The sequence below is a fragment of the Homo sapiens genome, chromosome 13 (genome assembly GCF_000001405.40).
Source record: "Homo sapiens chromosome 13, GRCh38.p14 Primary Assembly".
NCBI lineage: Eukaryota > Metazoa > Chordata > Mammalia > Primates > Hominidae > Homo > Homo sapiens.
This window is the reverse complement of record NC_000013.11, coordinates 95623211-95650971: the sequence shown is the minus strand read 5'-3', so window position 1 is coordinate 95650971 and position 27761 is coordinate 95623211. Positions and strand designations below refer to the sequence as shown.

At 43.3% G+C, this 27761-nt stretch overlaps 1 protein-coding gene and 1 long non-coding RNA gene across 29 annotated transcripts in view, besides 5 other annotated features; both read left to right on the top strand.

Moving 5' to 3' along the window:
• Positions 1-360: 360 nt before the first annotated feature.
• Positions 361-2261, top strand: LOC124903194 (uncharacterized). Its single transcript, XR_007063840.1, has 2 exons — positions 361-908; positions 2138-2261. It is a non-coding gene; the product is annotated as an uncharacterized LOC124903194 (long non-coding RNA).
• Positions 6054-6103: an enhancer, noted in NCBI's record as "active region_7880". NCBI's record gives its function as "activates an Ori minimal core promoter by ATAC-STARR-seq in GM12878 lymphoblastoid cells {active_cell/tissue: GM12878}" and the evidence as "EXISTENCE:reporter gene assay evidence [ECO:0000049][PMID:35858748]".
• Positions 6194-6303: a silencer, noted in NCBI's record as "silent region_5445". NCBI's record gives its function as "represses an Ori minimal core promoter by ATAC-STARR-seq in GM12878 lymphoblastoid cells {active_cell/tissue: GM12878}" and the evidence as "EXISTENCE:reporter gene assay evidence [ECO:0000049][PMID:35858748]".
• Positions 6266-27761, top strand: part of DZIP1 (DAZ interacting zinc finger protein 1) — a 66505-nt gene continuing 45009 nt past the window's right edge. For 11 of the 28 annotated variants that reach the window (XR_007063670.1, XR_007063669.1, XR_007063668.1 and 8 more), the window contains exons 1-7: positions 6266-6595; positions 7274-7371; positions 7715-7929; positions 8731-9677; positions 17651-17738; positions 20859-20983; positions 26043-26204. Coding sequence is in view for 25 of the 28 variants with exons in the window: in XM_047430168.1 (XP_047286124.1) it covers positions 8943-9677; positions 17651-17738; positions 20859-20983; positions 26043-26204 (1110 nt within the window). In the remaining 3 variants the exon portion in view is untranslated. Of the gene's footprint in view, positions 7372-7714; positions 7930-8730; positions 9678-17650; positions 17739-20164; positions 20259-20858; positions 20984-26042; positions 26205-27761 lie in introns of those variants that run through there. The other 17 variants (NM_014934.5, XM_047430180.1, XM_047430178.1 and 14 more) reach the window with 4 other exon arrangements.
• Positions 6394-6483: a silencer, noted in NCBI's record as "silent region_5444". NCBI's record gives its function as "represses an Ori minimal core promoter by ATAC-STARR-seq in GM12878 lymphoblastoid cells {active_cell/tissue: GM12878}" and the evidence as "EXISTENCE:reporter gene assay evidence [ECO:0000049][PMID:35858748]".
• Positions 6544-6653: a silencer, noted in NCBI's record as "silent region_5443". NCBI's record gives its function as "represses an Ori minimal core promoter by ATAC-STARR-seq in GM12878 lymphoblastoid cells {active_cell/tissue: GM12878}" and the evidence as "EXISTENCE:reporter gene assay evidence [ECO:0000049][PMID:35858748]".
• Positions 8196-9121: an enhancer, noted in NCBI's record as "H3K27ac-H3K4me1 hESC enhancer chr13:96294105-96295030 (GRCh37/hg19 assembly coordinates)". NCBI's record gives its function as "activates a minimal SCP1, AML or CMV promoter by ChIP-STARR-seq in naive and primed H9 embryonic stem cells {active_cell/tissue: H9 hESC(naive and primed)}" and the evidence as "EXISTENCE:reporter gene assay evidence [ECO:0000049][PMID:30033119]".

Here is a 27761-nt window from a genome sequence, read left to right as displayed (position 1 = left end):
AAGACATAATTAAAAAGGAACTAGAGGTAAAAATAGACGTAATCCAGAAATTGCCATTTCACAAGTCTTCCTGGCATTGTGTCATGATAGTGGGAGGTGCTGCTGGGTAACCTCTCAGTGTAGCATAGGGCAAGTCTGCATAAGTTATTTACTTTTTATTAACAGGATATTTTTTGAATTGTTTGTTACTATGATTTGAATAGGCCGCCTCCAAAATTCAGGTGTTACCAATGTAATAGTATTAAGAGATGGGGCCTGTAAGAGGTGATTTGGCCATAAGGGCTCCTCCTTTTATGAATGGGATTAAGGCCCTTATAAGGAGGCTTCACAAAGCATTTGGTTCTCTTGTCCTTCCAGCTTTTCTACCATGGGAAGATGCAGTGTTTTTCCCCTACAAGGATTCAGCATCAAGGCTTCATCTTGGAAGCAGAGATTGGACCTTCACCAGAAAATGGAACACGGCGGCACCTTGATCTTGAACTTCCCAGCCTCCAGAACTGAGAGAAAATAAATTTTATATCATAGCAGCACAAACAAAGACAGGCTCCTTCAGCAGCTTCACAGAACCTTGGATGCCTCCTGGCCCAGGAGCCAGTGGGGACACCTGGCCATTCCTGGGAGGTGGAGAAAGGATGCATGGAGGAAGAGAGGCATCCACCTGGCTCAGAGAACACTAAGCAGCAAAATATTGAAAGAGTTGTAGTGCTTCTCTTAACTGCTTCTATTAAAATGCAAGAGGAGAGAAATGACTTAAAGATAAAATTTATAATTAAAAGAGAAGCAGAATGTAAAGATTTGGAAAATTCACAGCCTGGGCATATAAAGATTTAAAAAATGTGTTGGGGAGAAAACCGAGAGTGGCCAAATGACTGTTGATATGGAGATTACTATGGATACAAGGAAGCCAGGTGATATTCATCAAGACAATGGGAGAGTGACCCCAAAGGCAATTCAGAGATCTTTGAGGCTGCCATGCCCATTTCAGGCCCAGAGTGCCAGGGCCTTGAGAGAAGAGTAGTTTTGCATGGCTCAGGGGTTCATGGAACCTTGGGGCTCACTGCCCAGGGCTGCCTTGGGTCTCTGCATTCCGCATTTTGGGGTAGCACGCCTCAGCTTTCCCAGCTGTAGCTCAAGCAGGCCCAGGTGTGGCTCAGGCCACCATCTTGGAAGGCATAGCCATACACACCTTGGCTGCATCCAGGTGGTGCTAATTCTGCAGGCTTGCAGAGTGCAAGAGCTGTGGAAGCATTATTGGCCTCCACCTAGAATTCAAAGGATATCTCAGACACTGTTGGGGCCCAAGCAGAGACTTGCTCTGGGGGCAGGGACACTGCAGAGAATCCCCACTAGAGCAGGCCTTAGTGAAGCCATGGGGGTAGGGTCTCTGCCCCAGAGACCCCAGACCTATAGAAATGCCAGCATGCAATGCCAACCTGTGAGAGCCACAGGTACCCAACACCAACCTGTGACAGCTGCTCCATGGGCTGTGCCCAGCAAAGCTGCAGGGGTGGGGTACCTTGGGGCCTTGGGGACCTTAACCTCTGCCCCAGTGTGTTCAGAAGGCAGGACATGAAGTAAGGGAAGGTTGTTCTTAGGCCTCAAGATTTGGTGGTGTTTGCCTTGTCGAGTTTTGGAGTTGCTTGGAATCTGTCACTCCTTTCTGCTTCCCTATTTCTCTCTTTTGAAATGGGAATGTTCATCCCATGCCTAAATACACCATTGTACTTTTAAAGCCCTTAGCTTGTTTGATTTCTTAGATTCAAAGCTGGAGGGAATTTGTCTCAGGATGAATCATACACTGACTCTTACCCATATCTGATTTAAATGAGACTCTGAATTTTAGACTTTTGAGCTGATACTGGAATAAGTTAAGACTTTCGGGGCTACTGGGAAGGAAGACATGTATTTTGTATGTGAGAAGGATATGAATTTTGGGGGCCACAGCAGAATGCTGTGGTTCGAATGTGTCCCTTCCAAAATTCAGGTGTTGGCAATGTGATGGTATTAAGAGGTGGGGCCTTTAAGAGGCAATTAGGCCATCAAGATGCCTCCCTCATTAATGGGAGTAAAGCCCTTATAAAAGAGGCTTCATAAAGCGTTCTGCTCACTTGCTCTTTCACTCTCTCTTGCCCTTCAGCTTTCTGCCATGTGAGGACGCTACCAGAAGGCCCTCATCAGAAACTCAAACCTGCAAGAGCCTTGATCTTGGACTTCCCAGCCCCCAGAAGTATGAGAAAATAAATTTCCATTTTTATAAATTACCCGGTCTCAGGTACTTTGTTGTAGTGCCACAAAACAGACTAAGACATATCAATAGAAAGAAGAATATGAGTGTGTGTGGGTGCTAAGCAGCGAAGGAGTTGGATTTAATGGACATTGCATTTGTCTTGTTTTCATATTTCTCTATATAGGTACCTTCCTTTGAGGATTGCTACAGTCTTTTTCAAGTAATTATGGTGGAGCTGTCATTTACACCCTGCGTTTAGCCAAACCACTGGTTGGGCATGTGACTAAGTCAATTAGAATCTTTCTCACAGGAATTTATTTACCTATTTATTTTTGAGATGGAGTCTCACTCTGTCACCCAGGCTGGAATGCAGTGTTACAATCTTGGCTCACTGCAATCTCTGTCTCCTGAGTCCAAGTGATTCTCCTCCCTCAGCCTCCTGAGTAGCTGGGACTACAGGCATGGGACACCATGCCTGGCTAATTTTTGTGTTTTTAGTAGAGATGAGGTTTCACCATGTTGACCAGGCTGGTCTCAAACTCCACACCGCAGGTGATCCGCCTGTCTCGACCTCCCAAAGTGCTGGCATTACAGGCGTGAATCACTGTGCCCAACCCTCCCAGGAATTTAATTGTTATAGTGGCAGTGAATGCAATTGAAGTTGAATTATCACAAGAACAGTTCCCTGTAATCCACAGAACAATCATGAGATGTGGGAGGTTCTAATGGCAGTTAAAATTCGATTTTTCTGCATAAAAGAGAATATCCAGATAAATGTCTTGAAAAGGTTTCTCACCTGGAAGAGATGTCTAGATGCAGGTGGTTCAAGACTGATATGACCCCTTTACAACATCATTCTGCCTTCCCATCCTTAGTATGTGGGTCTGACTTTCAGGTTCCAAGTGTGAAAGAAAATAAAATCTTGGGACCCCAAACTCACTATGCCAAAGGAGATTTGAGCTTGGCAACTGAGTTGGGGCAATACTGCCTACCATTTTGTTTCCAAACAGATGGTTGTAATTTCACAATTCCATGCCAGAGCCTTATATATAAGTCAGATTCCCACAATAATAGAAGGCCATACACCTTCCCAGATGGCCTCCCTCACAAATTACAAAGAAATTCCCTGCAAGCCCCTAAATACATTTCTCCCTATAAACCAGCCCTAAAATCTGTTAAATCTCACAGTGACTGGTATGAGATGGTTTCTCATTGTTTTGATTTGCATTTTTTTGATGATTCGTGGTGTTGAGCATTTTTTCATACGTATGTTGGCCGCTTGTATGTGTTCCTTTGAGAAGTGTCTGTTAATGTCGTTTTCCATCAGTCAGAATGGCAATTAGTAAAAAGTCAAAAAACAACAGATGTTGGCGAGGCTTCAGAGAAAAGGGAATGCTTATACGTTGTTGGTGGAAATACAAACTAGTTCAGCCACTGTGGAAAGCAGTTTGGAGATTTCTCAAATAACTTAAAACAGAGCTACCATTCAACCCAGCAATCCCACTACCTGGTATATACCCAAATGAAAATAATTCATTCTATCAAATAGACACATATACCCATATGTTCATCACAGCACTATTCACTATAGCAAGGGCGTGGAATCAATCAAAGTGCCTGTCAACAGTGGATTGGATTTAAAAAATGTGGTACAGGCTGTTCTGCCTATGGAGTACATTTTTTTTTTATTCCTTCACTTTCTTAATAAACTTGCTTCCTTTTTTTTTCTTTTTTTTTTCTTTTTCAAGACAGAGTCTCCCTCTGTTGCCCAAGCTGGAGTGCAGTGGTATGATCTCAGCTCACTGCAGTCTCTGCCTCCCAGGTTCAAGTGATTCTCCTGCCTCAGCCTCCTGAGTAGCTGGAATTACAGGTGTGCACCACCATGCCCGGCTAATTTTTGTATTTTTAGTAGAGACGGGGTTGCACCATGTTGCCCTGGCTGGTCTCAAACTGTTGACCTGAGGTGATCTGCCCACCTTGGCCTCCCAAAGTTTTGGGATTACAGGTTTGAGCCACCTCACCTGGCCTATTATTCTTTAAACCATGTATATAAAACCAAGGTTAGGTATCTGAAATGGGAATATGAGGCAAAATAATTAATATGTATTGAATCAGACAACACATGTGATTTCTGCCCTTCTTTATTTATCGCCTTCATACTAAAGGACATTAGCCAGGTAATATCAATAACTATTTTCAAATGAGAGAAACAGAAACAATCATTTGAAATAAATTCAGCTACAATGCTTTTGTTTATTTACTGTACAAAATGATTAATGTTCACCAGTATTATTATTTCATTCTTTAGGATCATTTCTGTCTTCAAAAAGCAAATATTTATTTGAGGACTTACTAAATGCTCAAAATGCTGGAATACTTGAGGTTCTTATAGTCTGACCGACGAGAGAGATACCTTAATCATTAAAAATATGTATACCATTATACAATTGGTAAAAGTGGTTTGTGCATAGATCAAGAATGCATCATGGCTGCTAAGTCATGCCAAAGTCAATTGATTCTTCTTATTCCAATTCTACACCTGTAGGGTAATATACTGACAGTGGGGATGGGAAATACATGTAACTCAAATGGTATGTCAACAAATAATATTAATTAAGCAATCATCTCTCTCTCTCTCTCACACACACACACAGACAGCTACCGAGTTTGCAAAAACCGGATTTTGCAGAGCAATGGTCCTATCTATCTCATATTGTCTGAAATTCCTTTCTTTTTTTTTCTTTCTTTCTTTTTCTTTTCTTTTCTTTTTTCTTTTTTTTTTTTTTGAAACGGAGCCTCGCTCTCTCGCCCAGGCTGGAGTGCAGTGGCGCGATCTCGGCTCACTGCAAGCTCCGCCTCCCAGGTTCACGCCATTCTCCTGCCTCAGCCTCCCGAGTAGCTGGGACTACAGGTGCCCACCACCATGCCCGGCTAATTTTTTGTATTTTTAATAGAGACGGCGTTTCACCGTGTTAGCCATGATGGTCTCGATTTCCTGACCTCGTGATACACCCGCCTCGGACTCCCAAAGTGCTGGGATTACAGGCGTCAGCCACTGCGCTCGGCCTATTGTCTGAAATTTCTATCTAGAAATCTTTCCCCATAGTACTTAGAGGATTTTTATAGAGATCTTGAATTTTCTTTCAAAATAATTTTAAAATTAGACCAATTTAAAATCCCATCATGGTCATCTTGGCCTTATGGCTTCAAATAAAACTAAAGCAAGGAATTCAACATAAATACATATTTAGCTGTTGCTATGTTTGAAGCCTTGTGCTAAAGTATGGTACAAAGTTGATTCTGTCAGGGAGAAGCACAAGGAAAGGCACTTTTACAACGGCATGTTGGTCCAGTAAAAGTTCTGCAGCTACTCCTCTCTAATTTAAAAACATATATATATATATTATATATATATATATATATAGCTGCATTAGACACTTAGGTTTTGCAAAAGATGCCTTCATTTCTCATGATGGTATATACATACGTTCTGGATTACTTGTTACTTAAAAATACTGACTTTTGTCCCACGTGTTCCAATTTTAGGTTACATAAATGAGCACACTACTCCGGACCCACATCTCCTGTAATTCAGTGCCTAACTTTCTACCAACAAAGATCCGTGCCTTTCATCCTGAAGTGGGCATAACGGAAAGAGACGCAGAAACCTACGTGGGTTTAAATCCTAGAGGGCTTTGGTGAAAAGTCCCTAATCTCGGTTTTCCACGTCACTCAAATGCAGGGCCACATTAGATAGCCTTTTCAAGGTCCTTCGCATCTGCAGACTTCTGCGATTAAAACGCATCTCTTTTTGGAAGATAATTCACCTGAAGCTCCTCTGGGAAATTAGCTTGCTGAGGGCCAGACCAACAACCGGGTAGGAGCGAATCTGGTTTCTCTTTGAAAAGCCTTCCTAGGGTTAGCATCCAGGGCCAGCAACGGAGCGCGCCCCCGAACCACGTGTCTGCGCCAGCTGCCGGATTGGCTGAGCGCATTTTAGCGCTGCGGTCTAGACGCTCGCGGTCCCGCCCAGTTGCCAGAGGAGCCGGGACACCGAGGGAAGAGGCCGGAGGGAGATCGCGGAGGGGAGGGGGCGGGAGGGGGGTGGGGTATCCTGAGTCGTCCGTGGTCCGGAGTCTGGAAGGCCCTAGAGCGGCGCCAGTCGACCCGCCTCGCCACAACTTGCCCAGACCAGACACGTTTCATCCTGCGCCCTGCAAGAAGGAGCCGGCCTGCCTCTCTCCGCTTTGCTGCTCCTCGGCCTCCGCGGGCCCGGCCCGCGTCAGCAGCGACCCTGGGGTCTGGGTCCCCTGTGTCGCCCCCGCCCGCCTGCAGCGCCCGGCACCCGCCCAGGAGCGCGCAGCTGGGGTGAGCCGAGACCGGGGATGCGCCAGGCGCCCACAGGAGGTGGCTGACGGGGCATCCCGATACCCGCGAAGCCGGCCCTCCTGCCTCTCCAGGCTGCGAGCCGAGCCTCTGCAGATCCAGCTGGAGTAGCCGCCGCTGCCCCCACTGCCTGTTTGCCTTCCAAGGAAGGGCGCCGAGGTTCCCCTGGAACCCGCGTCTCTCGGCTTTTGTCTGCTGGTTCGGCTGCCCGGCGGTGCCATGCGCCTGGGACTTGAGGCGCCGCGCAAGGCTGGGGGCCCTGCCCGGGATGGGGGAGGGAGGGAACGGGAAAGCATGCCCCCTTCTTTCCTGTTCCGGCCATCTTGTGACCGAGATCCACGCAAGGGGAAAGGGGTGGTCAGCGGCACGACGCCCCACGATGGAGTGTGGCGGCCAACGGAGATGGGTACCTCGGGCCCGCAGGCCTCTGCGCCCAGATCTCAGCGGGGGCGCGCGGGCCACCCCCACGTTCAGCTCTGAAGCCCTTGGCCCAGATCATGGGTTAATCGTTCTAACAGGCCAGAGGCAGCAAAAATAGGAGGGATAAAGGGCCAGGAGCTGATGTTTCCTTAACTAAGCGCCTAAGTCATTCGATCGTTCTTCATTCACGTGTCCATTCAGCAAATTCTGAACGCCTTCTCCGTGCCTGTCCTCTGCTAGGTTCTAGGGACGTATACTTGAGCAAGAGAGACCACAGCTCTTGTTCCCGCTGATCCTGCAGCCCAGTGGATGGAGTCCAGAATCTACAGACCTGCCAGGTCGGTGTCTTGATGCTCTTAAACAGATGGAGGAAGCTAAGTCTTAGAGCTGACAATTTGTTCTAGATCAGGGAGCAAGTAAGTGACAGAATCAAACTTTGAAACTATTTATGTCTTTAGCACTTTTTATGCCTGGTTGCAGGGAATAAAGGCCAATTAACTTGGACATATGGTTTATTTGAAACCATATGAAGTGCGTGTTTTATTTCCTGGATGTTTTTGCATGGGTTTATTTCTAGTTAACAATATCTTGAAAGTGCTAAATATATTTGATATTACAACTTTGCTTCCAGTTACTCTGAATTGTATTTTCCTTTCTTCTGTTCACATATTTGGATGTTAGGAAAGAAAAAAAAATTCCTGATGTCTGGTCCAAGCAGGAATTCCCCGGTGGATTGGGGAATGTCTGGCTTTTCCTCAGCTTATTGATCTCTGTGGTAACCACTGGAGGCCCCCAGAAGACCCATAGAAATGAGAGGCCTGAGGTCTACAAGTCGCTGCTAGAAATATTTTAGCCTCTCCAAAGCCCAGAATGCAGCCCCGACCCAAGTTTGTAAGGTAAATACCATGGCCCTGTAAAACTTGTTGGTAAAGCTGATGGCTAAAATCCCCCTCCATCTGTTTCTACCTTCAGCATTTTGAGTATGTATCCTTTTGGAAAGACAGGTGAAGTATTACATATTTTGGGGAGTTCTTTGGTTCGTACTTTTATCAAAATGTTATATTTAGGCTGCTAACCTACAAAGGAAGAAAGACTCCATTTAAAAAGCAACTTGGGTGTCAGAAATCTAGAAAGCCTGCCATCAAATATGATTAACTGCAAATTTCATTTAAAAAACAACTTTATTGAGATATAATAAAAATGTACCCTTAACTTTAAGGACACAATTCGGTGAATTTGGCCAAGTGTATATTGCTGGGTAATCAACACCACAATCAAAATGAAAAACATTTCTGTTATGCCAAAAGCTTCCTCATGCCCTTTTGCAGCGAGTCCCCCTCTATCACATTTAATTATATATATTTTATTGCTTAATGTTTTCTAAATCGTGTGTAAAAGATGAGGATGAATAGATACTACTTTTTTTTTCTTTTTCTATTAATGATGGAATGAATAGATATTTCTAATTTCAAAGCCTAAGGCCAGGGCTACAGTGAATAAATAACCAGGGGATGGCAGTTAAGACCAAAGGTTCCCAGGGATGTGGCTCCCCACGCCTGCCTTAGGGACATGGAGTGTCCAGCCCCAAACGCCAGGGAGGGTGGCGCCCTGGGGAGCCGGTACCCAGGAGGTACCCTCTTCGGGTGAACGGCTGTGTCCACTCGGGCTCGTCCAAGAGGTCTTCTCTGGTCCCGCAGGGTTCTGGGTGCACGCTGACCCTGCGCGGGCAGACGCGCCCTTTGCTCCAGGTCCGGACCTGGGCGCTGCTATAGCAACGTCCTGGACGCCCAGACCTTAGGCCGCCGCCGCCGCGGAAGCGAGGAACCCGGCCTTCTCCCGCTCCTGAGGGCTGTGGCGGCGGCGGCCCGGGAGGCGGCCCAGGCTGGGTAAAGACCGCCCGGCTCCTCCTATGCAAGCTGAGGCAGCGGATTGGTTTTCAAGCATGGTAAGAGGCGGGAGGCCGGGGCGCCCCCGACGGGGATGCCGGGCTGGGGAGAACCGGGGCTTCCCCGGACCCCCAGCTCCCCAGCCTGCCCGCCCCCCATCCCCGCCTCCCGCCGCGCTCTCTTTGTGCCCCCCGCAGCCCTTCCAGAAGCATGTCTACTACCCGCTCGCCAGCGGCCCAGAGGGGCCCGACGTCGCTGTGGCCGCCGCCGCCGCGGGTGCGGCCTCCATGGCCTGTGCGCCCCCCAGCGCGGCTTCGGGGCCCCTGCCCTTCTTCCAGTTCAGGCCGCGGCTGGAGAGTGTGGACTGGCGGCGGCTGAGCGCCATCGACGTGGACAAGGTGGCGGGGGCTGTGGACGTGCTGACGCTGCAGGAGAACATCATGAACATCACCTTCTGCAAGCTGGAAGACGAGAAGTGCCCACACTGCCAGTCGGGGGTGGACCCGGTGCTGCTGAAGCTCATCCGTCTGGCGCAGTTCACCATCGAGTACTTGCTGCACTCACAAGAGTTCCTCACCTCGCAGCTGCACACCCTGGAGGAGCGGCTGCGCCTGAGCCACTGCGACGGCGAGCAGAGCAAGAAGCTGCTCACCAAGCAGGCGGGGGAGATCAAGACGCTCAAGGAAGAGTGCAAACGCCGGAAGAAGATGATCTCCACCCAGCAGCTGATGATCGAGGCCAAAGCCAACTATTACCAGGTGGGCAGCTGTGTGTGAGCACGATTCATAATCCAGTAAACAACTCAGTTCCCATTTGATAGGCCTGTCCCGTATCACCACTCTTTCTTCTTAAAGATTTATATTGTATATCAGAAGACACAGTATATTTAAGCAAAAACAGTCATTTAACCAACAAATGTCATGGTTCATTACCTTCTGCAGACAATCAGGGGATTAATAATTAAACAACAAATGTCGTCTGTGGTGCTTTATGGAAGTTATCTAAATGCTGGTTGTTGAAACACTTTCCTCCTCCGAATCAACCTCAACATGAAAAAACCATATACAAATTGCTGTTGAAGCCAGTCCCCAAACGATGCAGAATGTTTAAATTTGTAGGGTCTTTTTCTCATTTTTATAAATTTTGAAATACTTTCAAACTGACAGAAAAGTTGCCAGGAGACTGTAAGGAATTTTCATGCGCCCTTCACCCAGATTCCCCCATTATTAACATTTTCCACAGTCCCTCTATTTCTGTATACATATTATTATTACTTTTGAACCATTTCACAGTGAGTTGCAGATCCTAAATATTTCGATGTGTATATTTTCTAAGAACAAGAACATTCACTTACATAACAGTATTTAAAGAATAAAATATTTTTATCTTCTGGTCTTAATCTTCTACTGTTTTGGGTTAGACATTGAGTCCAAGATAAATATTGCAATTTTTGAGTATAACATAAACCAATGTATTTTTTTTTTATTGACTAGTTGGAGGAAGTGCAGAAGGTATAAACAATGATTGAGAAAGATATTGAAGTAAGCAACAGATTAACAAGATTGATGTCATGCCCTTACTTTCTAGTCCTTTCGGCTGACTATGGCTTAAAAGGCCTCACTGGATTTAGGAATAGTGGAGCTGATGCATGAATGCTGGAGAGAACTGGGTGCAGGGCAGAGAAAATGGTGCAGTTAATATTGCTCAGGACTGACCCAGCAGGAGTGTTGAGTGTTCTTAAGATAGGGGAACAGTGGCCGGGTGCAGTGGCTCACACCTGTAATCCCAGCACTTTGGGAGGCCGAGGCGGGCGGATCACGAGGTCAGGAGATTGAGACCCGAGACCATCCTGGCTAACATGGTGAAACCCCGTGTCTACTAAAAATACCAAAATTCGCTGGGCTTGGTGGCATGTGCCTGTAGTCCCAGCTACTTGGGAGGCTGAGGCAGGAGAATCGCTTAAACCCAGGAGGCGGAGGTTGCAGTGAGCCAAGATAGCGCCACTGCACTCCAGCCTGGCAACAGAGTGAGAATCTATCTCAAAAAAAAAAAAATAAATAAAAATAAAAAAGATAAGGGAACAATTAGGAATATTATTAGAAGGACTTAGTGTTTGGTCTTGGGTAGACAACCCTGAGGTATAATCTTCAAATGACACTGGGCATTGCTAATTGCTTATTTGTTTTATAAATGCTGCTTAAAAATTAAATATTTACAAATAGTGCTAAGATGGTTTTTTTCTTGTGCAACGAATATAATGGATTCTATTTAAACATTTTTAAAGATTTATTATAGTCCAGCTTTAGCAGCCATCTAGTGAAATGTTAAAACCTCTAACATACAGAAATTGTATGTTTATAAACTTTTTTTTCCTTTTTTGGGGTTACTATAGAAATGGCTGTTATAAGAGAAGATTTTCTTTCTTTCTCTTTCTCTCTCTCTCTCTTTTTTTTTTTTTTTTTGAGATGGAGTCTCACTCTGTCGCCCAGGCTGGCGTGCAGGGGTGCGGTCTTGGCTCACTGCAGCCTCCTTCTCCCGCGTTCAAGCGATTTTCCCACCTCAGCTTCTTGAGTAGCTGGGACTACAGGTGTGCACCACCATGCCCAGCTAATTTTTGTATTTTTAGTAGAGACGAGGTTTCACCGTGTTGGCCAGGCTGGTCTCAAACTCCTGACCTCAAGTGATCCACCCACCTCAGCCTCCCAAAATGCTGGGATTACAGACGTGAGCCACCACACCTGGCCTAAGAGAAGATTTTCAAATGTGAATGATAAGTAATGATTAAAAGGTAATGACTCAATTTATCAAATGAGTGACACCTACTACTTTTTCAGCTACCAGACCTTGGCAAGTTGCTCAACCTCCCTGTGCCTCAGTTTCTACTCTGTGAAATGGGAATATTAATTGTACCTACCATATAGCAGTTGTTAATGGGGATTGAATGACTTAGTGCATAGACTGTGCTTAGAGCAGTGCTTGGCATGTAGTTAGTTATTGTTTTAGCTAATACCTGGGAATGAGGGAAAAACGTTTTGTGGCATGACAAATACTAAAGCTGACTTACTACAAAATGTGAACAATCATATGACTGCTATCATGTGAGTTTTTCTTTCTTCCCCTATACAGAAAATCCAAAGCCTAGACTCCTTGTTCTGACACAATGATTGGGTCCACCGCATTATCAGTTTTACCTTTGAGAAATTGTGGTCTCATTCTCATTCTCATACCACTTCTCTTTGTCTCTACTCCCTTTGCTTTAAGAAATCATAAGAACTGAGTAGCTGAGACAAAAAAAAATTAAAGATGCCTGTTCTTGAAGGCTTGAAGACACAGACAGACAGACACACACACGCACGCATCCTAATGGGTTTTTTCCCCCATGGGGTGTGCGTGTGTGTGTGTGTGTGTGTGTGTGTTGTGTATAAGGGGGGTAGTGATGGCAATGTGTAAGGTCTTTTTCCTCAATATTTTATTTAAAAAATTTAAAATGCAGAAAAATTAAAACAACAATATAGTGAATACCCATATATGGGGGATTTTAAAAGAAAAATCTCATCGATTTTCAAATAAAAATTAGTACTGAAATATTATAAACATACAAAAAAGTGCATAGACTAATGTAAGACATACCATATACCCACCTCTTAGATTTAACTCAGGTTAGGCTGGGCGCAGTGGCTCACACCTGTAATCCCAGCACTTTGGGAGGCCAAGGCAGGCAGATCATCTGAGATCAGGAGTTCAAGAGAAGCCTGGCCAACATGGTATAACCCCATCTCTACTAAAAATACAAAAATTAGCCAGGTGTGGTGGCGCATACCTGTAATCCCAGCTACTTGGGAGGCTGAAGCAGGAGAATCACTTAAACCCAGGAGGTGGAGGTTGCAATGAGCTGGGATCACGCCATTGCTCTCCATCCTGGGTGACAAGAGCAAAACTCCATCTCAAAAAAAAAAAAAAAAAAAAAGATTGAACTCAGGTTAGCATTTTGCTATATTTCCAAGATAGCAAAATGTTTAAAGAGTTTTAAACATCTTAGAAATAAATAATTTTCCCTTCCTCGATTCTCAGAGAAAATCTGTTTGACTATATCCTTCCTATTTATGTTTATGAACATATAAAATATTTTTATGAACATATGTATTCATAAGACAGTGTTTTTAAGTTTGAAAATTTTCTATAAATGATATTATACTTATAGATCTGTACTAATCTGCCAAGGCTGCCATAAAAATAACACAGGTTAGATGGTTTAAACAACAGAAATGTATTTTCTCACAGTTCTGGAGGCTGGAAGTTGAAGATCAAGGTGTCAACAGGGATGGTTCCTGGTGAGGCCTCTCTTCCTGGCTTGTAAACAGCCACCTTCTTGCTATGTCCTCATCACATGGCCTTTTCTGTGTTTGGAGAGAGAGAGAGAGAGAGAGAGAGAGAGAGAGAGAGAGAGATCGCTAATGTCTCTCTCTTTTTCTTTTTTTAAAGTGAAGGGGTCTTGCTATGTGCCCAGGCTGGCCTTAAACTCCTAGGCTCAAATATTCTTTCCGCCTCAGCCTTGCAAGTAGCTGGGACTACAGGTGTGAGCCACTGTGCCACACTTACCCTATCAGATTAGGCCCCCCGCCTTATGATCTTATTTAACCTTAATTATCTCATTAAAGGCCTCATCTCCAAACACAGTCACAGTTGGAGTCAGGGCTTCTCTCCCAGTTTGGAGAGTTACACTATCCAGGTTGGTAACATTCACATTCTCTTACTCAGCCATAATGTCTTACTTGTTTTTTTCATTGGTTTTATATTTATGTGCTCATTCAAAATCCTTTCACCTCAACATCTCCATTCTTGAGTTTCTCATTTTGAATTATCTCTTAATTCATAGGATTGTCAAAATGATTTGTCTTACCCAGAAGGCCCAAGAGTGCTGCATTTCTTCAACTCTATCAAGTTTGAAAGACATATTGGATGAAGAATATTCTTAGTCACACTTTCCCTCTGAACTTTTTGATGTGGTTCCTTTGTCTTCTGGCAGTAAATGTTGCTGTGAGAAGTTTGAGGGTGGCCTAAAGTTTTTTTCTTGTGAGTGACTTGCTTTTTCTGCCTGCATGACTGAAGAGTCCCTTCTTTCTGCTTGAAGCCTAGTAGCTTTCTAGGGTATGTCTTGGTGTTGAGTGTTCTGTATCAGTTTTCCCTGGAACCTGGTGAATTCTTAATCTGCAGATTCAGCTTTCACTGCACTTCAGAGAAACACTCTTGTATTCAGTCTTTAAATTTTGTTTCATTTTTGGCTTCTCTACTTCTGGGAAACCAGTTACCTTTATGCAGTATTGATTTTGTCCATTAGTTCTCCGTACTCTTTGGTTTCTTTCTCATTGCTTTAATTCTTTCCTTCTAATCTACATTCACTGTGATAAATTATGTCAGCCTTTCCTTTAGTGAGCAATTCAGTTTTCAACAGTGTCTCTTTTATTCCTTGCTTTCTCTTTTCTTTTTTTCTATTTTTTTTTTTTTTTTTGAGTCAAGGTCTTGTTTTGTCACCCTGGCCCCGAGTGCAGTGGCGCAATCTTGTCTCACTGCAACCTCCACCTCCCAGGTTCAAGCGATTCTCCGGCCTCAGCCTCCCGAGTAGCTGGGATCACAGGCATGTGCTACCACATCTGGCTAATTTTTGTATTTTTAGTAGAGACAGGGTTTCGCCAAGTTGGCCAGGCTGGTCTCAAACTCCTGACCTCAGGTGATCCACCCACCTTGGCCTCCCAAAGTGCTGGGATTACAGGCGTGAGCCACTGCACCCGGCCCTATTCCTTGCTTTTTCTTATTTATTTGTTCTGCAATGATGTTTCAGATCTTTTTTTTTTTTTTGTATTTTATCTTTCTTTTTAAACTCATTCTGGTTTTTTAAAAAATCATATCATTTTTATAGAATGTATGCTACTCTTATGTTCTGTGATGTGAATAGATTGTGAAGAACATCTTTAGATTCCTTTCTTAATTTATAGATCCCCTGCAGTAAGCTTTATTTTTGCATGCCATGTTTTTCCTCCCTTTTCCTCCCTCCCTCCCTCCCTTCCTTCCTTCTTCCTACCTTCCCTCTTTCCTTCCCTCTTTCCCTCCCTACCTCCTTACCTCCCTACCTTTTTTTCCCCTCCTCCCTTTGACAGGGTGGTGTGTTTGCATCCTCTCCATCATCACTGTGCATTTCTCTCATCTTACACTTACATGGGCAGCCCTGCTGAAGCATTCTACTTGCCCTGATAGAGTGGCCGTATTGCAGTTTGAAGGCTGGATGGTCTCTGTCTCTGTTAGGAACAGTATCGTTAGAACACCTTCTGGCAACATGTGAACTCTGGGGTGGGGTGGGGAGAGAGGGAGGCATAGCTTCCTCTTCCTTTCCTTTCTCCAGTGCTGTACACAGCCCGAGAGCCTATATGACTTACATCAGAGCTGGTGTGAGGGGTCCCTAAAGTTCTATAGGTGAACCAAAGCTGTCATGAGCCCGGGAGGTTGAAGAGATGCTTTAGGGATTCTCTGAGATGCAATACCAAGAAATATACCAGAATATGACTGGGCACCGTGGGTTACACCTGTAATTCCAGCACTTTGGGAGGCCAAGGTGGGTGGATCATTTGAGGTTGAGAGTTCGTGCCCAGCCTGGCCAACATGGTGAAACTCCATCTCTACTAAAAATACAAAAATTAGCTGGGAGTGGTGGCGGGCACCTGTAATCTCAGCTACTCAGGAGGCTGTGGCAGGAGAATCGCTTGAACCTGGGAGGTTAAAGCTGCAGTGAGCCATGATTACGCCACTGTACTCCAGCCTGGGTGACAGAGGGAGACACTTAAAAAAAAAAAAAAAAAAAAGGAAATATGCAGAATGTTAGTTTTAGAAACCAAAGCCTGAAGTCTGGATGCAGTTACACTGATTAAGAGTAAGGCAGCATGGTGAACAAAAGAACATGTTCAGTGACACAATGGGCATGAAAAGAGCAAAATCCAAATGGAGGGAAACTCTGCAGGACAAGCTTCAGCCCCTTCAGCAAAAGGATAGCAAGGAAAAAAAAGAGGTGGAGGGGAAACCTATAGACTAAAAGAGTGTTAAGAGACATAACCATCAGTTACAGGATAGGGATAGGGTCTTATTTGGATCCAGTTATTAATAATTATTCCAAAACAAACCGAATGTTTTTTCTAAGACAATATGTGAAATATTAGGGAAAAATAATCAAATTAATAAAAATTAAAAATTATCCAAATAGTTGAATATTTGTTTTTTAAAAAGGATTTAATTTTTATATTTTATAAGGTGGAATAATGGTATTATGATTTGTGTTAAAGTCCTGTCTTCCTTTTAGAGATACATTCTGAAATATTTACAAATGAAATATATAATATCCAGGATTTACTTCAGAGTAATCCAGGGGTGAGTATATAGATGGAACAAATGGGATTTTTGCTTAAAATTTCAATCAGTGTAAAAGTAGAAAAACAGAGGTATACGTGGAATTGACTTCTTTTTTCTCAGAAAATTTATTTTAATAGGTTATACTTCCAAGCTTTTGTTCATTCATATATTAAGCCTGTGTTCTGGGGAGAAAGCTAGAGGCCCTGCCCTCAGAAATCTATATTCTAAAACCTGGAGGGACTGGGCTAGAGACAATAAACAAGTGAAGTACACAAACGTGAAAATATTAGCCAGTGAGATGTATGAGGATGAAAAGAAGACTACGTGATGTGACAGAGACTGTGACAGGCAGGAGGATCTTGAGGATTTTGTTGAGGACATGCTGTCATCCTCAGCGTGGAAGATGCTTGATGAATGACATCTTGAATGTCAGGAGAAGGTGCCAGCCATGGGAGGAGGGTCTGGATAAGATCAGGCAGGGGCAACAATGAATGCAAAGCCTCTGAGATTGGCATGGCTGCAGGACAGAAAGAAGGCTGGTGTGGCTGGAGTGGCAGGGGCAGGTTGTTGTTGATAGAGTGGAAGCTGTCAGTCTAACAAGAGCAGCATCAGGGGCTCCAGAAAGCAGCAGAAGGGCTCCTTTAACTGTCAAGAGGTAGTTTTCACTGCCTTGTCTTCAGTTTGGGAGGAATGCCCTGGTTTTATTTTTATTTATTTACTTATATTTTTACTTTTTGTAGAGATGGGCTCTCGCCATGTTGCCCAGGCTGGTCTCGAACTCCTGGCTCAAGTGACCCCCCAACTGCCTTCGGCCTCGTGCTGGGATTACAGGCATGAGCCACTGCACCCAGCCTGGTTTCATGTCTCGTCTATTAGTCATGCTTTCAGTATCTCTTGCTAGGATGGTATCGTTCAGCGAGAAAGCGCCCAAGAGGTAGTGCTTCAGGTACCTGAATTTTTTTTTTTTTTTTTTTTTTTTGAGATGGAGTCTCGCTCTGTTGTCCAGGCTGGAGTGCAGTGGTGCAATCTCAGCTCACTGCAGCATCTGCTTCCTGGGTTCAAGTGATTCTCTTCCCTCAGTCTCCCTAGTAGCTGGGACTACAGGCACATGCCACTATACCTAATTTTGTATTTTTTTGTGGAGATGGGGTTTCATCATGTTGGCCAGGCTGGTCTCAAACTTCTAACCTTGGGTGATCTGCCTACCTTGACCTCCTAAAGTGCTGGGATTACAGGCGTGAGCCACAGTGCCTGGCCAGGTACCTGAATTTTAATTGCAATTAAGTGGGACGACAGTCGTTACAGACACTTGGATTTGTTGCTCTCTCCTTTTCAGTGCCATTTTTGTGACAAGGCCTTTATGAACCAAGCTTTTCTACAAAGTCACATTCAACGCCGCCACACTGAAGAAAATTCTCATTTTGGTGAGTAATGAGTTCTGTTTGAAAGCTCTTTTCTTCCTGCTCCCTTTTTCTTTTGGCAATGAGACTTGGTCCAGTGCATTTCCCAGTCCTCTTAAAAGAAGCATCACGGTCCCTGTCAATTCAGTAAGTAAATATGGAGCCCTCAGGAGGTGCATACAGTGCACCAGGTGCTGGAGATACAGCCACAAGCTGAACGGAGAAGCCCCACTCTCTCTCGAGTTTTACATTCTAAAGGGGGTTGAGGAGACACATTTAAACAGATAAATGAGTAATTAAACAGACAAATGAGTAATTCTTCTCAAATGGTGGCAAATGCGATGAAGATCATAGCGCAGGACAATGGGGTAGAGAGTGACTCCAGGTGGGGTGAAAGTCTCAGAAAAGTGTGTCACAGGCCAAGGAACACTGACTGTAAGGGACGTGAGGTGTGCTGGGATGATGTGTTTGAGGAACAGAAGGGCTGGTGGAATGGAATAGAATAGGTGAGGTGATGGTGTGTGGTGAGGCTGAAGTGCTGGGGGCCTGATCACAGGAAGCCGTGAAGGCGTGGGCTGGAATGTGGAGTTTTTATATGCGTAAGGTGGAGCCACTGGAGGATTTTAGGTAGGGGAAGGGCATGATCTAATTAATGTGTACCTTAGCATGACCCTTCTAGCTGTGGATAGAGACTACTGTTGGGGCGACAGTGGAAGCAGTGGATGAGTGAGGGGAGGAGGCTGCAATCGCAGCCGAGGTGAGAGAGACGGGGGCCTGGACCAGCTTTGTCCCCAGGCAGGTGGGCAGGTGAAGTTGTAACAGATAAGTTGTGGACCCAGAAGCTACAGAGGACCCTGGGTTTCTGTCCTCCATGTTTGGGTGAATGGTGATGCTTTCTGTGATGGAGGGCCAGGGTCGGGAGGCAATTTCAAGGAGGAAGAGGGCTGAGAGTTTGTACTTGCCATGGGTGCGTTTACATCACATGTGCAACAGACATGCAGGTGGGGGTACTGAAGGGCTGCAGCTTAAGGTGGAGACCCAGGCTGGAGATTTAAATCTGGGAATCACTGGAGTAGAGCTGGTCTGGCTGAGGTCACCTAGATAGAGAATAGAAAGTGATGAGGTCAGCCCCAAGGTCTTCCCAATGCTAGGAGCTCAGAAAGAGCAGCAGCAGAGAGTGAGGAATAGTCTCTAGCAAAGCTGGAGGGAAACCTGGGGAGTGTGTTGTCATGGAAACCAAGGGAAAAGTATTTCACAGAGGAGGCAGTGGTCAGTCATATCAAATGCCGCTGAGGTACAGAGTAAGATGAAGACTGACAATGGACGGCTGTTGTCAAGACGGTTGTTGGTGACCTTGGCACAGCAGCTTCAGTAGACAGATGGGGACAAAAGTCTGATTCCCCTGAGCTGAGCTGAGTATCATGAGGGAGTGGTCCTACTGTATCCAGACATTGGTTTCAATAACACTTATTGGGAAGGAAAGCAGAGACATGAGGCTTCATCTGGACAGAAATGTGAGACCCAGGGACAACTTTGTTTCATTTGATGTGGGAGATACTAAGATGTGTTTGGGTGTGCACCACCGACAATATAGATGGTATGCAAAATGAAGACGCAAGAGAGGGGAGGGGACTCTGAGGCTTACCAAGGAGCCAGGTTTTCTGCCATTGAAGTATTCTCAAAAGCAAAGAATGTAAGGGCTCTTTCTCCATGGGCAGATCAAAGCTTCCTGCAGATTGCCACAGTAACCCACAGAAATTCTTATTTTTATCGTTTTTTGTTTTTTTTTTTGAGATGGAATCTCCCCCTGTGGCCCAAGCTGGAGTGCAGTGGTGCCATCTTGGCTCACTGCAACCTCCTTCTCCTGGGTTCAAGTGATTCCGTTGCTTCAGCCTCCCAAGTAGCTGGGACTACGGGCACTCACTACCACACCTGGCTAGTTTTTGTATTTCTTTTTTTTCTTAGTAGGGATTGGGGTTTTGCTGTGTTGCCCAGGCTGGTCTCGAACTCCTGGCCTCAAGTAATTCATCCCCCTTGGACTACCAAAGGGCTAGGAATACAGGCGTGAGCCACTGTGCCCGACCTCATTCTGATCTTAAATGTTCTCAGTATCTAGACGTGGGTACTTGGCTTATATACTCAGTACCTGCATTTCCCTCCAGTTTGGGCCAGGTTGTTTCCATTCTTGCCCATTTCAGTTAAATAGATTACTTAGGAAATAGCTAAGCTTCGTAGAAACAAAAATAACAGCATAATAATCTCATTAATAAGTCTTGAATCACTGATAAAATTTAGCAATATTTTGGAAAGATGAAATATTTTAATTAATCTACCATTCTTCAGCGTGAAACTGACCTTCTTTCTCTTCTGTTTCAGTATCTTATTCTAACTCATACTCGTTTCAGAGAGGGTTTCAGACTCTGAAACGAGTATTATTTCTTCAGGTCATCTTTGAGATTCTGACTTTCTACTTTGGTTTCCATACCTTTCATGTCTACACTCACAGACACATGTACATCCATTCAGTCATGTGTACATCTGCATGTAAGTACATGTACATAAGTATTCTTCCTTTCACTTGTTGCTTCCTTTTACAACTTTTCAGTACCTCACTTCTACCCCAGTTGATAGACTATGGCCCAAGTTTGCATTTTGAATGCCCCCCAAGTCCTCTGCTTGTATTAGCACTGATGGGGTCCTCAGAAGAGTTCAGCGGGCACCTAAAGGATGGTGACCACAGAGATTTCAGTATGGTGGTGCCTGCAGAGGAAGCTGTTGCTTGCCTTCTGTGATTGAGACAGGCACCTCTAAGAAAAGCCCAGAGTGCCACTGGGTCAAAGCACCCTGTATTATTCCTTGTTACCATTATTGCTCCCTGAAGAGGGCTCTCATGTATCTATGTAGGATAATCCAACCTCAACACAGCGGCTGAAAGAATCTGCTAAAAAATAATTCAGTGCCCCAAAATACACTGGGCTCCAAATAAACTAAAGAGCAAAAATTGGCTCATGTGGCATGAAACAAGTAATCGTATCCCAAGTAAGAGGACAGTTTCCTTCGTGTTATCAACAGGACTGTACCCCATAAGTTTCCAGGTACATTTGGTAAGAGATGGTGTTTTAACACGATTTTCTGTTGCAACAGAGTATCAGAAAAATGCACAGATTGAGAAGCTCCGGAGTGAGATCGTCGTATTGAAGGAAGAGCTGCAGCTCACCAGGTCTGAGCTAGAGGCTGCACACCATGCCAGTGCAGTCAGATTCTCCAAGGTACCAGGCAGAATTCTGTGGTATTTTAATTACAATTAACTGTATGTAATTCAATTATGCCATGGACTCTAATAAACAGAGGACACTTAAGAGTTTGTGAATTTGACAAGATGATTGCATTTTTTATTGCCAATCTACTCTTTAGTATCTTACTACAAAGCACATCACTGGAAATATATTTCTCTATTTTTTGAAAGCCTTTTAGAAAATTGGGGTGGAATTCATATAACACACAATTAACTTTCTAAAATTTTGCTTAGAACAGAAGTCTGACACTTCTCATTCTCACTGGGCTAAAGTCAAGGTGTCAGGAGGACCATGTGCCTTGGTAGAGGCTATAGAACAGAATATTTCTTGCTTATTTGGTTGCTGGCAGAGTTCAGTTCCTGGCAGGTGTAGACCAGAGGTCTACACTTTCTTCCAGGCTGTCCATTGAGGGAGGGCTGCTCCTAATTTCCTTGTGAGGCTCCCCATACTCCTGGGCTCCTGACCCTCTTCCTCCATACTCAAAGCCACCAACAGAGGGTTGAGTCTCCCTCATGCTTCCGATCTGTTTCCTTTTTTCTTTTTTCTCATCTATGTGACCCTTGTGTCAGCCCATTGGGTGCTTGGAATGACTTGTTCAGAGATACTCGGGGTGATGAAGGGCCCAAGAGGAAAGAGGCCCATGATTCATTGAGTTCTGACTTCTGTGGGTCACTGTGGGTACACCGTGGGTACCACGTATGCCATTGTTTATCCAACAGAGGGTTGACCTTGGTGTACCTAATGGAGAGAGTAAGGCCATCAAAGAGCATTTATTTCCTTGTGACTGTTGGAGTGACAGTGTGCTTGGCTCTTCCTTGTTTCCCCCATGGGGACAGCAAGTGTGACTTTCTAGGGATAACAGCAGTCATTTCACAGAATCATTGACAGAGGCTTCTGTCTTCCACATGGGCTCACTCTTTCTCTTTCTTTTTAAATTGTAATATACCTATAATGTAAAATTTATGATTTTAACTATTTTTAAGTGTACAGTTCGGTAGTGTTGAGTATATTCACATTGTTATACAGCCAATCTCCAGAACTGTTTTGTATTGAAAAACTGAAACTCTACCCATTAAACAGTGCTCCACTCCCCCCTCCTTCCAGCTACTTTCCCTCTCTGTGATTTTGCCTGCTCTAGATACCTCATATGAATGGAAGCATAGAGTATTTGTCTTTTTGTCATCATTGGCTTATTTTACTCAGCATAATGTCCTCAAAGTTTATCTATGTTGTAGTGTGTGCCAGAATTTCCTTCCTTTTTCAGGCTGAATGATAGTTCATGGTATATGTATGTATACCACATTTTGCTTATTCATCTGTTATTGGACACTTGGGTTGCTTCCACTTCTTAACTATTATGACTGATGCTGCTATGAACAAGGGTATACCAACATCTCTTTTAGACAGTCATTTTACAGTGTACAATCCAGTAGCGTTTAGTGTATTCACAATATTGTGCAACTACCATCTCTCTAGTTTCAAAACTTTCAACACCCCAGAAAAATAACCCATACCCATTAAATAATCACTCCTACTACCCTCATCTCCTGGTAACCACGAATCTTTTTATGTCTATGAATTTTCCTATTCAGTATATATCTTTTAAAAAAAAATATGTACACCACGTGTGGTGGCTCACAACTGTAATCCCAGTATTTTGGGAGGCCAAGATGGGAGGATTGCTCGAGCCCAGGAGTTCAAGACCAGTCTGCGCAACATGGTGAGACCCTGTCTCTACAAAAAATTAAAAAATTAGCTAAGTGTGGTGGCATGCGCTTGTGGTCCCAGCTACTCAGGAGGCTGAGGAGGGAGGAAGATGGCTTGAGTCCAGGAGGTCAAGGCTGCAGTGAGCTGTGTTCACACCGCTGCACCCCATTTGGCTACAGAATGAGACCCCATCTGAAAAAAAAAAAGTAATGTGTGACCTTTTGTGTCTGGCTTTTTTCACTTAGCATGATGTTCTTGAGGTTCATCTAAGTTGTAACATGTATCAGTACTTTGTCGGTCTTGCTAATATTCCATTGTATGTAGGTATGCATAGACAATTTGTTTATCCAGTCATCCATTGAATGACATTTGATTCATTTTCACCTTTTGGCTCTAATGAATAATGCTACTATAAACATTCATGTGGCAGTTTCTATGTGGACATATGTTTTCATTTTTCTTGATTATATACTTAGGAATGGAATTGCTGAGTCATATGGTAATTTTATGTTTAACTTTCTCAGGAACCACCAAACTGTCTTCCACAGTAGCTGTACCATTTTACATTTTCACCAGTAATGTTCTTATTTCTCCACATCCTCACCAATACTTGTTATACTTTTCTGTTTTCTTAATTAAAGCCATCCTATTGGGTGGGTGGGAAGTGGTATCTCATCGGAGTTTGATTTGTATTTCCTTAACAACCAATGATATTGAACATCTCTTCATGTTTATTTTCCATTTGTATATATCTTAGTTGGAGAAATGTCTATTCAAATCCTTTGCCCATTTTTTAATTGGGTTGTTTGCCTTTTTCTTGTTGAGCTGTATGAGTTATTTATATACACTAATAGTTTCATCACTTTAGCTCTATTAGGTCATTGGTCTATTTTGAGTTAATTTTTGCATGTAGATTGAGAGAGGGGCCCAACTTTATACTTTTGCATGTGGTTTATCCAGTTGTCCCAGTGCCAATTTTTCAAGAGACTATTCTTTTTTCATTGAATGTTCCTAACATCCTTGTTGAAGATCAGTTGACCATAGATGTTTGGGTTTATCTCTGGATTCTCAATTCCATTCCCCTAGTCTGTATGTCTGTCTTTATGCCAATATCACACAACTTTGATTACTGTAGCTTTGTAGTAGGCTTTGAAATAGATAAGTGTGCATCTTCCAACTTTGTTTTTCTTTTTCAATATTGTTTTGGTTATTTGTGGCCTCTTACAGTTGCATATGAAATTGAGGATTGGCTTTTCCATTTCTGCAAAGAAGGTTATTGGAATGGGATTACATTGAATCTCTTGATTGCTTAGGAGAGTATTGCCATTTTAACCATATTAAATCTACCAATCCATGAACATGGGATGTCTTTCCATTTATTTAAGTGTTCTTCAATTTTTACAACAAAAATTTTCAGTGTACAAGTCTTTTTCACCTTTTAGGTTACATTTATTTCTAGGTATTTTATTCTTTGGGATGCTATTATAAATGGAATTGTTTTCTTAATTTCTTTCTTGGATTGTTCATTGCTGGTATATAGAAATATAGCTGCTTTTTGCATGTTGACCTTGTACTGTGCAACTTTGCTGAATTTGTTTATTACTTTAGTCGTTTCTTATGGATTCTATGTTATTTTTTTAAAATAGTTGGTAGAATTCACCAGTAAAGCCATCTGGTCTGGGACTTTTCCTTTTTAGGAGGTTGTTGATTACTAACTCTATCCCTTTATTTATTGAAAGTCTATTGAAATTTCCTTTGTATTGGGTCAGTCTGGTCATTTGTGTAGGAATTTGTCTATTTCACCTAGATTATCCAATTTGTTGCTGTACAATTGTTCATTATATTCTCTTACAATCCTTTTAATTTCTCCAAGATTGGTAGTCATGTCCTCACTTTCATTTCTTATTTGGGGTGGCTGAAGGTTTGTCAGTTTTGTTGATCTTTGTAAAGAACCAAATTTTGGCTTCATCTATTCTCTCTGTTGCTTTCCTGTTCTTTGCTTTATCTTTGCTCTAATTTTCATAATTTTTTTCTTTCTGCTGCCTTTGAGTTTGGTTTGTTCATCTTTTTCTAGCTAGGTTATTTATTTAAGATTTTTCTTCTTCTTCTATATTTGTTTTTTGGAGATAGACTCTCTCTCTGTTGCCCAGGCTGGAGTGCAGTGGCACAATCACAGCTCACTGCAGCCTTGACCTCCCAGGTCCAAGTGGTCCTCCCACCTCAGCCTCCTAAGTAGCTGGGATTACAGGCACGTACCACCATACCTGGCTAATTTTTTTTTTTTTTTAATTTTTGGTAGAGATGAGGTCTCACAATGTTTCCCAGGATGGTCTCAAACTCCTGAGATCAAGTGATCGTTCCACCGTGGCCTCCCAAACTGTTGGGACTACAGGCATAGCCATCACACCTGGACCTTTCTTCTTTTTAAATGTAGGCTCTTACAGCTGTAAATTTATTTCTGAGCACTGATTTGGCTGCATCTCATGAATCTTGGTATGTTGTGTTTTCATTTTCATTAACCTCACAGTATCTTCCAATTTCCCTAGTGAGTTTTTCCTTAACCCATTGGTTGTTTAAGAGCACGTTGTTTACTTTCCACGTATTTGCTACTTTTCCAGTTCCCTTCTGTTACTGATTTCTGGCTTAATTCTATTGTGATCAGAGAAGAATCTTTGCATGATTTTGATCTTTTTAAATCTGAGAAACACTTTATGGACTTAAAAAAAGGTCTTCCTGGTAAATATTCCATGTGCACTTGAGAAGAATGTATATTCTGCTATTGTTGGGTACAGAGTTCTGTATATGTGTGTTAGGGCTAGTTGGCATATAGTGTCGTTCAAGTTCTCAATTTAGATTTTAAAAACCCTGAAGGTCATTGAGAAATCAAGTGCTGACCTTGAATTTAGCTCCTGTAAATCTGAATTTGTATTTTCTGGGGGTGGGATGAAGTTACACTATCCAAATTGTTATGGTGCCAACAAATGTTCTTTTATTGCTCAATATATGTTTTCTTTAAAGTATATTTACATTTTATATATTATGGCATGACTTTTATACAAGTTCATAGAACACAAAAAGCTGGAGGCTTTGGGCGTCTGTGTTGGTATTTTAAGGGATGTAAGGACAAGAGGATTCTGTGTGCTGCCTTTAGTTTAGAAAAATCATTGTGCACAGACCTGCCATGATAGGAAATGTTGTTACAAGCCTCACTGAAATAAGCAATACTAGCTAACATTTTTGAAGTGATGCTATGAACTTTTATTTTAAATATTGCTTATTTTCTTCAGACCAGAACTTTTAAAGATGTGTATTAAAATAATTTCAGGAATATGAAATGCAGAAAACAAAAGAGGAAGACTTTTTGAAGTTATTTGACAGGTGGAAAGAAGAAGAAAAGGAGAAACTAGTTGATGAAATGGAAAAAGTCAAGGAGATGTTTATGAAGGAATTTAAAGAATTAACTTCGAAGAATTCAGCATTAGAATATGTAAGTATTAAACCTAGAAGTTCTTATGGTATTGATTGCCTTGAGAGGTGGTGTTAGGATGGCATTAAGGCCAGGGGATCCAGCAGTTACTTTATGTTACCCTCGTGCAGACATTCTTCTCCCTGAGAGTCTTGAGGGAGGCATAGAGGAGACAGAGTGAGTCAGAGATGTTTTGCTGAGAATGGGAGCTTTGGCCTTAAACTTCAGTGCAGAACACTCGTGGTGAGATATAGAAGACCCTCTTCTATGATGGTCCCTCTTTTCTTATCTGGTTAGGTTAGCCTTGAACTGTAAACTCCTCCCTGAGTTTTGGAACTTTCCATTGTCCAGTGGGAAGGGAAAGAAGCAGACCCAGAAAGGCTAAGAACCTTTGCCAGGCTCCCTCCTCAACCCAGGCCCAGGTGGGGTCTCTAAAGCAAGCAAGTTATGGCTAAGTGAGCCCCTCTCCCTTGTGGGAACAGCCCTGGTCCATACAGCCCCAGCCTCATGCATAGATGATACCTGAGCTGCTTCTTTAGAAAGCAGCCAATCAATCAGTGTCCTTCTAAGAATTCTAAGCTCCCTGGTTAGACTTGACCTGAGTCTTCTTTGGGGAAAACGGAGAAAGGAAGGGAGCTGAGCGAAGGTCCTTGAGCTCCCTCTAGGGGCCAACAAGTTTTATAAACGAAAATAGAGATTTTTGGAATTCACCTGAGGGCTTTCCTAAAACTCTTTAAACTCTAGCGTGAGATTTGGCGAATGGCCCATGAACCAAGTCCAGCATACCACCTGTTTTTGAATGGCCTCTGACATAAGAATAGTTTTTACATTTTTACTTTTTATTTTTTTCAAGACAGAGTCTCTCTCTGTTGCCCAGTCTGGAGTGTAGTGGCACAATCTCAGCTCACTGCAACCTCTGCCTCCTGGGTTCAAGTGATTCTCGTGCTTCAGCCTCCTGAGTAGCTGGCGTTACAGGCACATGCCACCACACCCAGCTAATTTTTGTATTTTTAGTAGAGACGGTTTCACCATGTTGGCCAGGATGGTGTCGAACTCCTGGCCTCAAGTGATCCTCCCACTTGGGCCTCCCAAAGTGCTGGGATTACATTTGTGGGCCACTGTGCCCAGCCAGTTTTTAAATTTTTAAAACATTGGAAAAAAAGAAGACTATTTTGTGACACAGGAAAATTTCATTAAAGTTCACATTTCAGTGTCATGAGTGAAGTTTTATTGAAACACAGCCATGTTTGGTAATTTACGCTCTGTCTGTGGCATTTTTGTGTGGGAGCAGTAGAGTTGAATGTTTTGTCTGAGACTTTGTGTTACGAATCTGCATGACTTATAACTGTTGCTATTGACCTTGGCTACCTGGCTGTGGTAGTGTTTGTCAGGTTTCTCCACTGAAGATTTTCTCTTTTTTCCTCCTTTCCCTGCTGTCCTTTCTGAAATGAAGTCACTATGAGCAGCCTACACTGAGGAGAGGAGACGTGCGCTCCCCCATACTTTTGTTTTTGAAGTTAATGTGTTACCTTCTGTGGTTTTCTGAGGGTTTTTGCCATGAGTAACATTGGGAATAAT